The 15,121-nt window shown below is 49.8% G+C and overlaps 1 protein-coding gene across 5 annotated transcripts, besides 16 other annotated features; it reads right to left on the bottom strand.

Moving 5' to 3' along the window:
* KLK2 (kallikrein related peptidase 2) lies at positions 334-7,462 on the bottom strand. 5 transcript variants are annotated; one of them, NR_045763.2, is made up of 5 exons: positions 7,382-7,462; positions 5,935-6,180; positions 4,143-4,429; positions 3,893-4,029; positions 334-2,497 (listed from the first exon to the last, which is right to left on the bottom strand). NR_045763.2 is itself a non-coding variant. In NM_001002231.3 (5 exons), exons 1-5 carry the CDS (start codon positions 7,425-7,427, stop codon positions 2,493-2,495), a joined length of 672 nt encoding a protein of 223 aa, NP_001002231.1. In that variant the 5' UTR covers positions 7,428-7,462; the 3' UTR covers positions 334-2,492. The 5 variants fall into 5 exon arrangements, 3 of the variants coding, with proteins under 3 accessions (NP_001002231.1, NP_005542.1, NP_001243009.1); NR_045762.2 differs by having other exon boundaries at positions 3,856-4,016; positions 6,021-6,180; NM_001002231.3 differs by having other exon boundaries at positions 3,856-4,029; positions 6,021-6,180.
* Positions 7,437-7,790: a promoter, noted in NCBI's record as "CP325 or hKLK2-323 minimal promoter fragment". NCBI's record gives its function as "androgen-responsive minimal KLK2 promoter in transfected LNCaP and PC-3 cells" and the evidence as "EXISTENCE:reporter gene assay evidence [ECO:0000049][PMID:10197620, PMID:7686046]".
* Positions 7,437-8,062: a promoter, noted in NCBI's record as "hKLK2-597 promoter fragment". NCBI's record gives its function as "androgen-responsive KLK2 promoter in transfected PC-3 cells" and the evidence as "EXISTENCE:reporter gene assay evidence [ECO:0000049][PMID:7686046]".
* Positions 7,437-14,481: a promoter, noted in NCBI's record as "7 kb CP383 construct fragment". NCBI's record gives its function as "drives expression of the KLK2 gene upon androgen induction in transfected LNCaP cells" and the evidence as "EXISTENCE:reporter gene assay evidence [ECO:0000049][PMID:10197620]".
* Positions 7,624-7,638: an enhancer, noted in NCBI's record as "ARE or ARE P fragment used in duplicate or triplicate in reporter pBLCAT2 constructs". NCBI's record gives its function as "activates a heterologous thymidine kinase promoter upon androgen induction when duplicated or triplicated in transfected PC-3 and LNCaP cells" and the evidence as "EXISTENCE:reporter gene assay evidence [ECO:0000049][PMID:7686046, PMID:11064155]".
* Positions 7,624-7,638: a transcriptional cis regulatory region, noted in NCBI's record as "ARE region that has its 5' half-site (6 bp) deleted in the hKLK2-597delta and hKLK2-323delta constructs". NCBI's record gives its function as "necessary for androgen-responsive activation of the KLK2 promoter in transfected PC-3 cells" and the evidence as "EXISTENCE:site-directed mutagenesis evidence [ECO:0005528][PMID:7686046]".
* Positions 10,114-10,408: an enhancer, noted in NCBI's record as "tiled region #1578; HepG2 Activating non-DNase unmatched - State 4:PromP, and K562 Activating DNase unmatched - State 1:Tss". NCBI's record gives its function as "activates a minimal TATA promoter and a strong SV40 promoter by Sharpr-MPRA in HepG2 and K562 cells {active_cell/tissue: HepG2 | K562}" and the evidence as "EXISTENCE:reporter gene assay evidence [ECO:0000049][PMID:27701403]".
* Positions 10,850-12,616: an enhancer, noted in NCBI's record as "CP379 construct fragment; includes the DEE 2 (distal enhancer element 2) region that is similar to DEE 1 upstream of KLK3 (see GeneID:106128905)". NCBI's record gives its function as "activates the minimal KLK2 promoter upon androgen induction in transfected LNCaP cells" and the evidence as "EXISTENCE:reporter gene assay evidence [ECO:0000049][PMID:10197620]".
* Positions 11,017-11,900: an enhancer, noted in NCBI's record as "hK2 0.8f construct fragment". NCBI's record gives its function as "activates the KLK2 promoter and a heterologous thymidine kinase promoter upon androgen induction in transfected LNCaP cells" and the evidence as "EXISTENCE:reporter gene assay evidence [ECO:0000049][PMID:11064155]".
* Positions 11,049-11,635: an enhancer, noted in NCBI's record as "KLK2 LTR40a fragment used in the pGL3 promoter construct". NCBI's record gives its function as "activates an SV40 promoter upon androgen induction in transfected LNCaP and C4-2B cells" and the evidence as "EXISTENCE:reporter gene assay evidence [ECO:0000049][PMID:22597536]".
* Positions 11,051-11,635: a mobile genetic element.
* Positions 11,108-12,275: an enhancer, noted in NCBI's record as "CP390 construct fragment". NCBI's record gives its function as "activates the minimal KLK2 promoter upon androgen induction in transfected LNCaP cells" and the evidence as "EXISTENCE:reporter gene assay evidence [ECO:0000049][PMID:10197620]".
* Positions 11,265-11,289: a protein binding site, noted in NCBI's record as "ARE E gel shift oligonucleotide". NCBI's record gives the evidence for it as "EXISTENCE:protein binding evidence [ECO:0000024][PMID:11064155]".
* Positions 11,266-11,288: an enhancer, noted in NCBI's record as "ARE E fragment used in triplicate in the pBLCAT2 construct". NCBI's record gives its function as "activates a heterologous thymidine kinase promoter upon androgen induction when triplicated in transfected PC-3 and LNCaP cells" and the evidence as "EXISTENCE:reporter gene assay evidence [ECO:0000049][PMID:11064155]".
* Positions 11,266-11,288: a transcriptional cis regulatory region, noted in NCBI's record as "ARE E region mutated in the CP457 and CP458 constructs". NCBI's record gives its function as "necessary for androgen-responsive activation of the minimal KLK2 promoter in transfected LNCaP cells" and the evidence as "EXISTENCE:site-directed mutagenesis evidence [ECO:0005528][PMID:10197620]".
* Positions 12,194-12,387: an origin of replication, noted in NCBI's record as "20mer2 M amplicon; peak of nascent strand synthesis detected by PCR of lambda exonuclease-treated nascent DNA". NCBI's record gives the evidence for it as "EXISTENCE:nuclease protection assay evidence [ECO:0001106][PMID:16707432]".
* Positions 12,264-12,283: an origin of replication, noted in NCBI's record as "20mer2; can confer replication of a plasmid". NCBI's record gives the evidence for it as "EXISTENCE:genetic transformation evidence [ECO:0005027][PMID:16707432]".

Genomic DNA, 15,121 nt, shown 5'->3' with positions numbered 1-15,121 from the left:
CTTCACCTCTACTCAATTCTATTAATCCATTTTTTTTACTTTTTCCAATTATCATATTTTTCCCACCTAATATTTCCTACCTTTTTCTCATATTTTATGTATGTTAGTCTTGCTCAATATTCCTAATATGTTCTCTTATTTTTCAGCATGCTTATTAACTTCTAATTCAGTATAAAATCAATCAGGTTTCTTTCAAACAATTCATCATTGCAGAGATAACTCCATGGGTTACTCAATCACAAAACCAAACCAGTCCCACAGGTGCATTCACTATCCCCCGTCTTTCCCTGACCCCCTGTACATTACTAAATGTCCACTTACAATTACACAGTATAAGGTCTGAAAACAAGATTCAGTTTTATTTGCTGCCCCAGTATCTGTAACCAGGAGTGCCACAAAATCTTGCCAGATATGTCCCACACCCACTGGGAAAGGCTCCCACCTGGCTACTTCCTCTATCAGCTGGGTCAGCTGCATTCCACAAGGTTCTCAGCCTAATGAGTTTCACTACCTGCCAGTCTCAAAACTTAGTAAAGCAAGACCATGACATTCCCCCACGGAAATCAGAGTTTGCCCCACCGTCTTGTTACTATAAAGCCTGCCTCTAACAGTCCTTGCTTCTTCACACCAATCCCGAGCGCATCCCCCATGTCATCCTGCATGGTGTGCAGCGTCCTCCTGCTCTGGGCTGTGAATCTCTATGGCTAAGAAACTGTTGATCTCATATCTCCGGTGCTATGTGTGGGGTGTTCAACCATCTTCATAACCCCAGGGTGGTAATCCCTCCCTCACCAATGGTGTGAAAAGAAGGCAAATAAAACAATGATTGAATGCTCTTTGGGCTCAGTATCATTCCTCAATGTGCCCCTATTTCTGGATTCTTCTTTGTAGGGATAGCCCCATAGACCACCTGATCACAAGACCAAACCAAATCCCCAGGGGGGCTTCCTCATCCTCTCCCTTTCCCTCATCCCCTGTACAATAAAAGGTTGACTCAGCAGCCCTGCACTGCTCAAAGCCTGTACATCCCAAGTAAAGGGCTCACCCTTGAATAACTCCTGGGAGATGACATTTGATTCCTTGGCATGTTCTGCCCAAGTGCCTTGATATACTTGGGGCCTTGGGCCATGCCAGACCCTTCATGCTAAAGATGGGATTTGTGATGAATCCCTGTTTTTGTACATCTGGGACTCTGGACCATGCTGTATCTGTTTGAACTCTAGGGAACCTCAGGTCTGAGGACTTCAGGTCAATTATTCAAGTACTCCATACTCGTCCTACAGACCCCCAGTAAAAACCCTGGACACTAAGGATCAGGTGAGCTTCCTCAGTTGGAATTACTTTGTACATATTATCATACATCCTTGCAGGGAGAATTATATGCTGTCCGTAAGTCTCCACTTGGAGAGAATAACTGTCAGATATGCCCCCCATCCAAAGGGAAAGGCCCCCACCTGGCTAGTTCCTCTATCAGCTGGATCAGCTACACTCCACAAGGTCCTCAGCCTAATAGGTTTGACTTCCTGCCAGTCTGAAAACTTAGTAAAGCCAAGTTGCCAGTCTTCGTAACTGCAAGTTTTCCTCTGTTTTCTCCACACTCTAATCTATACATCTGTTTTGTTTGCTGATTTCAGTATGTATCCTATCAATGTAACAAACCATAATAAACCACAGCATGATAGCTCTTTATTTCTGTAAGTCCTGCTAGGAAATCATCAAATCTGACGGTGGTTTGGGGGACCTGAACAAACCTCCTGTAATTAATCAGCTTTCAGTTTCTCCCCCTAGTCCCTCCTTCAACAACATAGGAGGATCCTCCCCTTCTTTCTGCTCACGGCCTTATCTAGGCTTCCCAGTGCCCCCAGGACAGCGTGGGCTATGTTTACAGCGTCATCCTTGCTGTGTGTGTGCCTCATGCATTGTGGCTCCAGCTTATCCTCAGTGATCTGTAGAGAGTGTCCACCTTGTGTCACTGTCCACTCTTCCAGGGTGGGCCCCACCCCTCCCATCTCTGCACCCCACAAACAACATGGTCACCCACGTCTTTGTGTGTGTCCTCACTGAAACTGAGCGAGAAGTCTTCAGAGACAGCCAGTGTTCCGAAGGAGAGGACGAAATTATACCCATTTCAGAAACATTGGCATACACCTGTGTCTGCCCATTCCTTTTCCTAGCAGCCCTGGACTCCACACCAGAAAGCACAGGTCAGTAGGACTCAGGAGGCTCGAGCTTCGGCCAGGTGAGTTCCAAGCTTCAGGTGTCCAGCATCCAGAAAGGCCAAGTGATGCCAGAACGTGAGGTGGACTTAAATTTACTAGAGGTAGGGGTGGGACAGGGGCACTCAGGGGTTGGCTGCGATGGTGTCCTTGATCCACTTCCGGTAATGCACCACCTTGGTGTACACAGCAGGCTTTTCAGGCAGGGCACATGGCTCAGGGCCCCATGATGTGATACCTTGAAGCACACCATTACAGACAAGTGGACCCCCAGAATCACCCTAAGGGTAAAGGAGGAGAGACACAGTGAGAAAGATTGGCCCCAATAACTGCCTAGGCAACTCCATCTCTCAGAACCGCGCAGGCAGATGACTGAGAGCAATTCCCAGCTCTCAGGAACAGACAGAAATGTCTCCAGAACCCACTCCCACAAGAATATGGGCAGGGAGTCCAACAGAGGGAACAAGGCTCCAGTCTTGGCCTATGGGGAGGGGACTTCAGGGTCCAGCTCCTGCACAAGGGGCAAGGTCCAGGAGGACAGTCCCTGCAGACAGGTCAGCAGGATGAGGGCCGGGACCATCTGCAGGATGCTGCCCCCACAGGCACATCGCAGAGGCCACCTCTTCAGGACTACTCTCTGACTAGATGTCCCCTCTCCAGGGCATTGGGGAGCCATGGAGGGCCGTGGGCAGGGCTGGGTATGGTCAGTTCAGTGATCAGAATGACCCACTGAGGCCAGATGGAGGATGGAGTGGAGGGGAGAGACTGAGGGCCAGGAGACTGTGAGGGAGGCTGGGTGAGGGCCCAGGCAGGGGCAAGGCCTGGAGCCACCCCCAGGTCATCCTCATCGTCACTCCCCCCACAACCCTGCCGCCCTCCCTCCCTGCAGTCTGATCCCAAAGGGAAGCCAGCGACAGCCTCTGGACACCTGAGCCAGGCCCTGTCCTTCTTCTGTCCAGCACCATCCACAGCTCCTGACTCCTCAGAGGAAAAGCAGTGTCCTCCTGTGGCCCAGGTGAGGCCCTGCAGGAGGGGCCCTCTCTTCCCTGTGTGAGGCCATCTCGCGCCCTGCCCCTGATCCCTCACTCCAGCCATGCAGCCCCCTCGCTCCTCCTCACGCCCTCCCGGCCCCTCCTCCCAGGCCTGGGCAGGTGCTGCTCCCTCTGCTCCCCCAGGTGCCGCAGGGCTCTCCCCTCCCCTGCAGCGGGTGTTTGCTCACTCCTACCTTCTGCAGGATGTCCCCTCCCAGTGACACTCCCCACCCCTCCTCCCTGCCCCAGAGCCCGATCACTTCCTGACACCCTCCAGCATTTCCATGTTGGGTCCACTGTTCCTGCCAGTGCCCCTCACCAGCATGGGGGCTGCAGGAGGGAGAGGCTGCTCTCTACCTGTTCACTGCTGCTTCCCAGGGTCTACGGCAATGCTGGTCACGTAGCAGGTGCCCAGTAAGCATGTGCTCAACACAGGAATGGGTGAATTATGCTGTGAGAATCACCTCTTGTGTTGAGGGAGTCAGGGAAGGGGGAAGGAGGGCGGCAGATGAGGCATGGGGAGGGGGCGTGGCTATAGCTGGGGAGCAGGGGAGGCAGATGTCTGGTTAGCTTTCAGATTGCAGCCCAGAATTAGGGTCTTCACTCACCTTTCCCCTCCAGATGTTGGGAGTAGGGATGACTCACCCCACAAGTGTCTTTACCACCTGTCCAGAGCCCAGCACACAACATGAACTCTGTCACCTTCTCAGAGTAAGCTCTAGCACACATGTCATTGGACAGGAGATGGAGGCTCACACACTGAAGACTCCTGGGGCGCAAGACTATGGGTCAGAGAAAAACTGGGCTGTGGCCGGACCCCACCTGGTTCTTTGGCCCCACTTCCCTCAGACCCAGGCATCTGGGCTCCCAGCTACACCATCTGGCCCAGGCGTACACTCCTCTGGTTCGATGCTGCCCCAGCCTGAGGCGTAGCAGGTGGTCCCCAGTGCTGGCTCCTGGGTGGGCAGGCCCAGGACCTTCACAACATCTGTGATCTTGGCAGGCTCTGACAGGCGGAGCAGCATGAGGTCATGGCTGGAGTCTTCATCTGGTCTAAGGCTTTGATGCTTCAGAAGGCTCATATTGTAGAGCGGGTGTGGGAAGCTGTGGCTGACAGGGACCCTCTGGCCTGTGTCTTCAGGCTCAAACAGGTTGTGCCGACCCAGCCAGACCTGGCTATTCCTGGGGAGGAAGGGGGTGGATGCATGAGGAGAGAGAAAATGGGGAAAGGTAGATGGGGCAGGGGAGGATAAGGGAGACTCCAAAGGGAAGAAAAAGAAACAGTGAGAAAAGCACAGGGGTCGGGGAGATATAGTCGTGGTGAAATACAGACAGTGAGTTAGAAAACAGGAGTGTGATCATGTGAGAGGCAGAGACAGAAACTGAAAGAAACGAAGTGGAAAAGAGAGAGCATAAAATGGCAGAGGAATGACAAAAACAGAAGGGAGAACAGTGAGAATTAGGATGAGCAAAGAAGAGACAGAGACAGCAAGAAATAGACATGGGGAAGAGGAAGGGAGAAAGAACAGAACCAGGAAGGGAGTGAGAAATAGACAAATGAGAAAAGGATGCGGGAAGTCAGAGAGAGAAGGAGAAACAGCAGAGAGGAAGCCAGGGGTGATACAGTGTGGGAGAGAAAAAGGAGGGAGGCCACGGGGGCATCTGAGGAGTGTGGAGTAGCAGGGGGAGGAGGAGAGGCATGAGGGTGGCTCACCTGCAGCTGGGGCTGGAGTGAGGGCTCTGTAGTGGCGGGTGGCCCGGCCCACAGCTCAGGGCCACGTCCCCCTTTCTCTCTCCAGCTCCCTTCCCCTCCTTTCGATTTTTTTTGTTGTTTGTTTGTTTGTTTGTTTTTTCTGAGATGGAGTCTTGCTCTGTCACCCAGGCTGGAGTGCAGTGGCACGATCTCGGCTCACTGCAACCTCTCCCTCCCGGGTTCAAGCGATTCTCCTGCCTCAGCCTCCCTAGTAATTGGGATTACAGGCGCGCAGCACCACGCCTGGCTACTTTTTGTATTTTTAGTAGAGACGGGGTTTTGCCATGTTGGCCAGGCTGGTTTCAAACTCCTGACCTCAGATGATCCACCCACCTCGGCCTCCCAAAGTGCTGGGATTACAGGCGTGGGCCACCGTGCCCGGCCACCTTCCCCTCCTTTCTTGTTTCCCCTTCTCCTTCCTCCCTCCTCAATTGTGCACCCAGCTACAGCTGAAACCAGCCCTCCCTGTGTCTCCCCAGGGTGGAGGGATGTCCTGCAGAGAGTGCTGTGCAATGACAGGCACCCCCTCACATGCACACACATTGAGCTTAAAGTCCTTCCTTTTTCTGGGTGCTCCCCACCCACCCTCACGGGGTGTGTTCAGTAGTGATGAGGAAGGGCTGAGGCAGAGACCCAGAGAGAAAGACAGGCAAAGAGATGCAGGGTGAGACACACGGTGACAGAGATGGCCACAGAGAGACCCAGAGACAGAGACGGGGGAGACACAGACACAGGGAGACAGAAAAGAGAGAGGGACATAGAGACCAAAACACAGTCATACAGACACAACCAGAGCCAGATACCAAGAGACACAGCGAGATCAGACACAGAGAGAAACCCAGGCAGCCATGGGGAGAGTGGTCCAGCCCCAGCTCTGCCTCCGGGTGCGACCTGGGCCAGGACCTTCCCTCTCTCCTTTAGTCTGAAGCCTCACCTGAGAAGTGACCCTGGGGGAAGCATCCCGCTGTTATTCCTGTGGGACACAGCCATTCCCTCCCCAGATCCCAGGGTCCTACTTACTTCTTTAGGCAATGGGCAGCTGTGAGCACCCACTGGGGGTGCACCAGGACACCCCCACAGTGTGCCCATCCATGACTGTACACAGCCACCTGCCAGGGTTGGGAATGCTTCTCACACTCCCAGCCTCCCACAATCCGAGACTGGATGAGGGGCACGGCACCTGCGGAGGGGGTGCTGGGTCAGGGGGATCAGACCCAAAAGAATTGGATAGGGGAGGGAGCTGAGCTGTGGGTTTGAAGAGACATGGGGGCAGAGGACCAGGACTGGGAGTCCAGGACACAAGCAAGGGGTCCTGGGAGGGCTGGCAATTCTGTAGCTATTCCCTGCGTTAGCGGGTTGGTGGCTGGACCAGGTCGGGAGGCTTCATGCTCTGAGAACGGAGCTGACCCCAGAGATCAGAGTAGGGGACATGGGAAACATCTGAAGCAGGCATCGGGTTGGGGGTTGGGTCATTTGGAGTGATTTGGGGTCTTACACTGGGAGAAGGGACACTGTGGTGGCAGCTGTGGGTTCTAAGAGAATAAGAGGTTCCAGAAACCAAGGATAAGTGCCCAGTGGAGAGGTTTAGTTGCTGGGAGAGGAAGGTTTTGGATGGTTTACCATGTCCAAGGTTAAGCAAACAGTTCTGCCTGAGTTGTTTCTTGCTTTGTTTTGTTTTGTTTTGTTTTTGAGGTTTTGAAAAGGGTGCGGATTTAGGGAATCAGAGAACTGGCCGTTGTGGTTGGGGGTGCTCGTGTTTTTCCCATGGAAAAAGCTAGCCATTGAATGACGGGTCTGGGGCAAAGAGTCAGGGAAGGAGGAGTTCTGAAAGTCCCAGTGCCAGACTCAGGGTGGGAGGCAGCATTTGTTGTCTCAGGCCAGATAGCCTCGGGGGGAAGAAGGAAGTGTCTGGTGGAATCTGGGTTTCCTGGGACAGGGTTGGGGAGCCAGGTGTCAAGGTCCAGGGGACAGGGTTGAATGCTCACAGCTGAATAGGAAAAGTCAGTAGACTGTGGTAGGACTGAGGGGCTCAGGAGGCAGCCCAGTGATAGGGTCCAAGGAACCAGTGGCATGGAGAGAGGTCCTTGAAAGGTTTTGAACCCCATAAAGAGAAACACAGAGATGCCCAGGAACTTGCTCTTTAGTAAAGCAGCTGGGAGCAGGGATTTGGCTGGGCAATGGAGAGAAAGGTCTGAGGTAAGTGGGAGGGAGCGGGGACCTAGTGTGGGCATGAGGACTATTGCAATGTGGAAGAGTCAGGGGCACATTGTCTGGGCTGAACTGTGGGCTGAAGGGACGAGGCTGGGGCACTGGGTGGGAGGAAAAGGGCTTCAGCATAAGAGTCAGAACCCGCCCCCCTTCCTTTATCCCCCCAATCTCACCAGTGCACCCCACAGACAAGGCGATGGAGAGAACCAGGTCCCACATGCTGACACAGGTGTCCACGGCCAGGTGGTGAGTTTGGGGCTGGGGGGCCTCCCTGAGGAGCCCTATAAAGCCTTCATTCTCCAGGACCCCGCCCTTGCCCTGTTGGCACCTAGATGCTGACCAAGGCCCTCCCCATGCTGCTGGAGGCTGGACAACCCCCTCCCACACCCAGAGCTGTGGAAGGGGAGGGAGAGCCAGCACTTGCTGTTCCACACATACTAGATCAGTCTGGAGGCATTCCCACGGTGTGAGGTCAGATTGGGCAGGGCCTATGGATCATGGAGATGTGATCTAGGGAACAAAGCCAGAGAAGGCAGGCTCAGGATGAACAGCAACAGGGGTTGGGATGATCACTGATTCTTTTTTAAAAAAATTCTGAGACAGTCTCACTCTGTTTCCCAGGCTGGAGTGCAGCGGCGTGATCGCAGCTCCCTGTAGCCTTGAACTCCCAGACTCAACCGATTCTCCTGTCTCAGCCTCCAGGATAGCTGAGACCACAAGCATGCACCACCACATCCAGCTAATTTTTAATTTTTTTGTAGAGAGAGGGTCTGGCTATGTTGCCTAGGCTGGTCTCCAACTCCTGGGCTCAAGCCATCCTCCCACTTCGGTCTCCCAAAGTGATGAGATTACAGGCGTGAGCCACCACGGCCAGCCCCAATCATTGATTTTCAATACAAAGTCTCATGTGCCTAAGTCCCAAGTACTTCCTTTGCACCCCAAACCTAATATGCCCTGAAATATCAGAATGATCGGATTGTGAGACTTCCTGGTCCCTATACCCGTCTGAGCCCAGAAGCTGGACCTCCAACTTACCATGTTCCTGAAATAGAAGCGTTGGCATTCAGTACTCTCTGATTCTTGCACTTCCACACTCAGAAAATGGTTCCCCACATACATTTCTCCCTCATCATAAAACCTTGTGATACCACATATTGTCCAATCCAGAAATATGACTCTCCCAGACCAAGTTCCCTATTATTTCAAAATCCAATGTCCACTAAACAATATGGGGTTCCGGTGGCTCCTCACTCCTCATTCTCCATGCCTGTACAACGTACAGGTACAGCGGGGATTCCTGTTGACCTGCCCTCCTAGGTCAGAATTGTCCTCATGCAAAATCCAATGCCTCCTTCTCACTGAAATGTCTAGCTATCAGGAGCCAGGTTTATACACTCCAAGATTAAGCTGCAAGCCAGGCACGGTGAGTGGCTCATGCCAGCAATCCCAGTGCTTTGGGAGTCCAAGGCTGAAGAATCACTTGAAGTCAGAAGTTCAAGATCAGCCAGGGCAACAAAGTGAGACCCTTTCTCTACAAAAAAAAAAAAAAAATTTAATTAGCCAGGTGTGGTGGCAAGCACCTGTAGCCCCATCTACTCAGGAGGCTGAAGCAGGAGGATCCCTTAAGTCCAGGAGGTCAAGGGTTCAGTGAGCTATGATCACACCACTGCGCTCCAGCCTGAGTGACAGAGCAAAAGACCCAGACTGTGTCTCAAAAAAAAAAAAAAAAAAAAAAAGAATTAGGGTGGCATTGAGAAATCTCATTTTGGTGTCTCAGAAAAGAATCAAGAATAAGAGTCCTGGTGTTAACTCTTATTATAAGAGTCCACTGTTAACTCTATAAGATTTCTTTGATTTTGAAAAAAAAAATGTGATTTCATCTGTTCAATAAAACCAGAGCAGCTTACGCTGATCCAGACCCAGCTGTGTCTCAAGAATTTGACAAAATCTTCCCCCATTTCCAGCTGAATGACCAGATCAATTCCAAGTACAGTGAAGGAGACAGAAGTGGACATAGATAATCACAATTCAAGACCAGGATAGAGGGATATTCACAGCCAGTGGCCTGATTTCCCCCACACAACCACTCGTTCCCTGGAATGACCGTCTGAAAGGAAATTTGCCTCAGCTTGAATGAGAACCACCTGAATCCAGTGTCCCAAGCATATCCTCATCCCCATGATAACCTCAACCAAAACCTGACCCAAACCAATTTAACACAGCCCAATCCAACCACATCACCCACAAGCCCAACCCATCAACCCAACACAACTTAATCTAATTCAAGACAACCCTAATAGCCTCCTTCATTTAAAGATCAAACCAAACTAATGCACATCCTCGCATGCAATAGCCAGCTCCATGTATTCTATCTCCAAAACTAAACCTACTTCATCCCCAATTCAATCCCCACACCCTTCCCAGCCAACATAAAAACAAACCTATTTCCATCCCAAAGCCATGCCATCCCAAACCACCTTTAAATTGCCAATCCCCAAACTCATCCGAAGCAGAATTTTACCCCATCTGTAACTCAACTCCAACCTGACCCTCCATTCTAACTGGTCTTCATACTCCGTTTTCAATGCTATATCCAGCACTTTATCTGGCCAAAGGAGATCAAACACAACCACATCCCACTTCTCGAGCCAGTCCACAGCCTCCTCCCCACCCGTCATGGCCCCCTCTGGGCTCTGACCACACAGGAGTCCGTGCCTTCACCCGCTCTTCCTGCACACACCATGGTGTTCATCAGGGCCCTGGGTAGTCCCTGTTACAAGATGTGGTACAGATGAAGCTGATGCTGGCACAGTGCCTCGTATCTGGGAGACTCACTTGGGAGGACAGTGGAGTGGGGCAAACCCGTAAGTTCAGGCTCCTGTGCCCTCCACCCAGAAGTCCTTGAGATTTCATGGACAGCGACATATGGCCATTCTCTAGCACCTTTCAGTCCTGGTTTCCTGTGGTTCTAGGATCTTTATCGGACACCAGGCCCCGGCCTGGCACCACGCAGGCCACATCCACCAGGGGACGCACGTCCACAGCTCCATGGTTGGGACGTGACGGGAGAGGCGCGCTGCAGGGATAGTCGCAGCTACATGACGTCATGGCGCCGGCCTCGCCCGCATAGTGCAGATGCTGAATGATGAGTGGATGATGCCCCAGGCCTCGGGACATGGCACATGTGCAGATTATACTCGCGCAGGCGCACTCTTGTGGAACTAGAAGAGTAGGTGATTACCCTCAAGTGGAGTAAGGAGTAGATGGAAAGATCAAAGCATGGGCAACTCTCAGTCCTCTGACCCTTTGAGAATCAGGAGATTCCATTACCTTCACACCAAACCCTGGAGCCAATGGTTCCAGTCCTTGCTTCCCAGGGACCCACCAAGGAGTCTCAAGCTAACAAACCCCTGCAACTCAACCCCTCACAATTTCAGCCCCTTCTTCCCGAGGATACGGGATTCTTAGACCTCTCAGGCCATTCCCACGTCAGTACCTCGGAAGCTGGGACCTTACCAGTCTCCTCCCTTGGGGATTTAAGAGTTCAGAACCCACATTCCTCCTCTCCAAGGACATTCACCTCCAGCCTCTTCCTCCTTCGGAACCAAGGAGTATGGGCCCCCTCTGCACTCAAGCCCAGAAGTTCTGATCCCCACCCATGTCCCCTCGAAATTCTGAGCACTCCCTTATTCTGGGGTTGGCAGTGGGGCACTGCCAAACATGGTGGGGAACTGGACCTAGAAATCTTGGTTAGGCACAGTGAAGCCAGATGTGGTAGACACACTAATGATGGGATGTTAAGACTGTCCTGCAGACAAGAGTGGAAGGCTCTGGGTGAACAGTGTTGGGAGACAATTTTCCATGGTTCTCTTATGTTTCTGTGTGTCTTCTGAGCAAAGGCAATAATACCGTTTTCTTTTCTGGACCATCTTTTCAAGCATATTTGTACAGCAGATAGCCTTGCAAGATGGTATCGCCTTCAGATCTAGGTTTGCTTACTGCCTTAGATAATAAAGTTAACGTCTATTTTACAGCAGATTTGTTTACTGTTCAGGACAATAAATACAATATGTTCCTCCAGAGTAGGTCTGCTTTCAACCCAATTATAAAGATAATATCTCCGTCAGATACAAAGACTGGACAAGTTTGCTGGTACCTTCTTATAAGATTGAGGATTTCTAAGCCTAGGTTGCTCACCTTTGCCACAAACCCCTGTGTCCATCCACCTGAACTGCTCTGATCATCCCATATGAATTGGGGGGCAAAGTGAACAAATGTGAACACAAAGTTCATGCTGCCTCCTTAGCTGTGGGTAATAAAATCTTTTGCCTCTGACCCAGGAGTCTCATGAGTTCTACCAGCACAAAACTGGCAGGTTAGCTTATGTGTTTGCAAGTCGGTAAAATGTCAGCTCTTTCAGAGTTCTTTTTTTTTTCTCCCCTGTAGGATACACATTTATAGTTCTCTGCAAAGAGTTAGGTACTGTGGCTACACCTGGCCAGCTGGAGATGGAGCTGGGAAGAGTGGGCAGTAAGACTGAGGAAGGGGAGAGGGCACAGAGAGATTATGATGGGCTCCTGGTATCATAGAGGAAGTCTGAGATAACCTCAAAGTCAAGATCTGAGATAGGGGGTCAAGGAAAGTGCATCCCCCTTTCCGGGGCAGAGACATCCAGCCATAATTTCTCTGCAGACAATGTCTAATCATGGTCCTCTGGAGCCCCTTGCATCCAGAATGACTCTGACCTATTGGTCACCCCCTTCTTATCCACAGTCCTTTCCTCTGTCAAATGAGGCTAGTAGTGCCCACCCTGTAGCCATGTTGTGAGGATTAGATGAGCATCTGTGAGTGCTGAAAGCCATGCCTAATACTTTCTTAGCACTCAGCAATGTTAGCACACATAGAAGTCACTCTCCACAGCCAGACATGTGCTGGTGTCTCACACACATGACCACATTTGATCCTCACAATAACCCTGTGAAGGAGAGTGTGCAGTAAAGGATTCTCCTTGCCCAAAGAGGCCAGGTCTTTGCATTCAGCTCCTGAGAGGTCATCTCTAAGCTTTTGAAATATCCTGCCTGTTTAGAGTGCCTGTGTTTACACGGGAGCTTGGGCCACACTGGATAGTCTAACAATGTGATTTATGGTGACAATGTTGGGTTACAGCCTATCAGCTGTAGACGTCTGGAGGGGCTAAGTACTAAAGTTCAGCCATGAAGGTGGTCGACATGTCTGTGCAACCAAGCTCCAATATAATCAAGGCTCAGTTGAGTTCCCTGATTGGCAATACACTGAATATTATCACACATCATTGTATGGAGAAGATACTGCTTTCCATGACACCACTGGGAGAAAACAACAGGAATCTCTGCACTTGGAGCTCTCCTTGTCTTTGCCCCATGCAACTCTTCCCTTGCTAGATTTTCATCTCTATTCTTTTGCTGTAATAAACCATAGCCATGAGCATAACAGCTTTCATTGAGTTATATGAGGGCTACCAGCAATCACTGAACCTGAGGATGATCTTGGTGACTCCCTTGAAATCTCAATTGATGTCAGAAGTAAGGGCCATCTTGAGAACTCCTGAACTCTGCAGAGGGACTCTTATTTCCACTTTAAAGTAAAAGAATGTAAATCAGGTATGTTAATGCACTAGAAACTGGCAAAGCCAGGATTACCATATATAGGTAGAATCCAGGGAATATATTGGGAATGCATTTTTAAGGTGGGTGTAGAATAACGGTAGAAGGAATGTAAAGTTGGATCAGGCTGAAATTATTCATATGAACCTATTAAACAGAAATCCTAGGTTTAACATTGCAGCTAGGGAAGTGGGGAAAGGTTCTAATGGTTTATTCGGTTGTTTGGTTGAAACATGGACCAAAAGATAGCCCACTGTATATGAAGTTGAAATGCCAGACCGGGTCACTGACTACAGACTCCAGCCCTAGAAGGCAGAACCAGGACTGGAGATGTCCTACTCAAGATAATAGAATTCTGACCACAGATTTCAGATTCTAGATGCCTCAAGGACAGACATTAGGATTCAGAGCAAATACCAAACCCCAAACCACAGTCGCAACATGTCAAATATGTGCTCCGGAAGCCAACCCCAAACTGCTGAAGCCAAGCTTCAGACTTCAGCCCCATACTCCTGATTCTAGGCTGAAGAAGCCAAGCTCCAGGTTCTATATTCCCACACTCTAGAACTCAGGAAAATCTCTGGGACAGTAGTTCTCAAACATTTTCCATCTTTGGACACATTTACACTCTTAACAATTATTGAGGGCCCTCCAAGAGCTTTTATTTATGTGGATTATATCTATCCATATTTATCATATTAAACATTTGTTTCATGGTGGGCAGGGTTGTGCAACCTACCCCAAAGTCTGAGGAAGCTGAGAGTCCAAAGAAACAAGCTGACAAATCCAGTTTCTTAGAAAGAAACATTTAATAGAGACTTACCAACAGAAGCCATGTCTGTGTCTCAGGTGGCAGCCAGACAAGATGGTGGACCCCTCTGCCATTATCCCCCAAGACCCAGGGCTTATATGCCATAGGGGAGGAGTCATTCAGAAGGAATGTGTAAGACAATTGAAGTACGATGCCATCAAGGTTGTTTGACCTAAGGACAGGATTTATGGTAAATACCTGCTATTTGGCAAGAAAGAATACATAAACTTGGAATTTTGGAGATCCTTGTATTAGTCCGTTCTCACACTGCTGTAAAGAAATACTCAAGACTGGTAATTTATACAGAAAAGAGGTTTAATTGGCTGATGGTTCTGCAGGCTGTACAGGAAGCATGGTGGCATCTGCTTCTGGGGAGGCCTCAGGGGGCTTTTACTTATGGTAGAAGGCAAAGCAGGAGCAGGTATCTTACATGGCAGTAGGAGGACCAAGAGAGGGAGGGGAGGGGCCACACACTTTTAAATGACCAGATCTCACGAGAACTCACTCACTATCACTGTAACACCACAAAGAAGAAAATCTACTCCCATGACCGAATCACCTACCACCAAGTCCCACCTCCGAACACTGGGGATTACAATTTAACATGAGATTTGGGCAATGACACAGACCCAAACTGTCAGTCTTCCCAGAACAGGGGTTAATCAGAAGCCACCATGGCAGGTTAGCTTTCAGGATAGGTTGCTTTACCTTCTTATTCAAGGTGGAGTTGCTCTGACCTCCACACTCTACCCCCCGAATCTGGCTCTTACAATTTCATGTTTCCTCCTCTTCCATGATGGTCCCTGATCCTTTAGTGAGGGTTTTAAATGTATAGCTTTAGCAGCAGTGCATCAGCAATCTGAAGCAGATCAAGCCCAGTGGATTGCATATGAGGAGATTCACCAGCTGTGTTGAGTCATCTCTAGTCCTCAGAATACCATGGCTTCAGTTTTCTCAAAAGAAGGAAAACTATGAGATACACATAACAATAATTTGAAGAGTAGAACTGTAAGGCACACAAGCTAGAACACCAAAAACAAGAAAACTGTTCTAGTAAAGAGCCAGATAAATGTGTCACGAAGACAATGAAAACCAAGTTCTTCTTTAGAGAGTTTTTGCAACCAGAAAATAATTCAGGATTTAGCTCAAATTGTAGGCACATATAAAAATTCAGAAAAAAAGGTCAGATGCAATCTAAATTTTTCTCTATTTTCCCTGTTCTTACCAAGAGTAAATCATAGCAGGACCAATTTATTTGCAAAATAAATTTTGGCCTCATTATATTTGGCCTGTTTATTTGTGTAAAGTATAGCAAGAAGAGTGATCAGCCATACAGGCCCCTTTTAAGGTAGCTTAGCTGGAGCTTTTATAAAAAATTTTGGATTCGACTTTTAAGAGCCTAAAGTCTTGAAGCCAAGCCACGCCAAAGATTTGCCATTAGGCTGTGCTTGTAATACCTG

The sequence above is a fragment of the Homo sapiens genome, chromosome 19, assembly GCF_000001405.40.
Source record: "Homo sapiens chromosome 19, GRCh38.p14 Primary Assembly".
NCBI lineage: Eukaryota > Metazoa > Chordata > Mammalia > Primates > Hominidae > Homo > Homo sapiens.
This window is presented reverse-complemented; position numbering and strand designations above follow the sequence as displayed.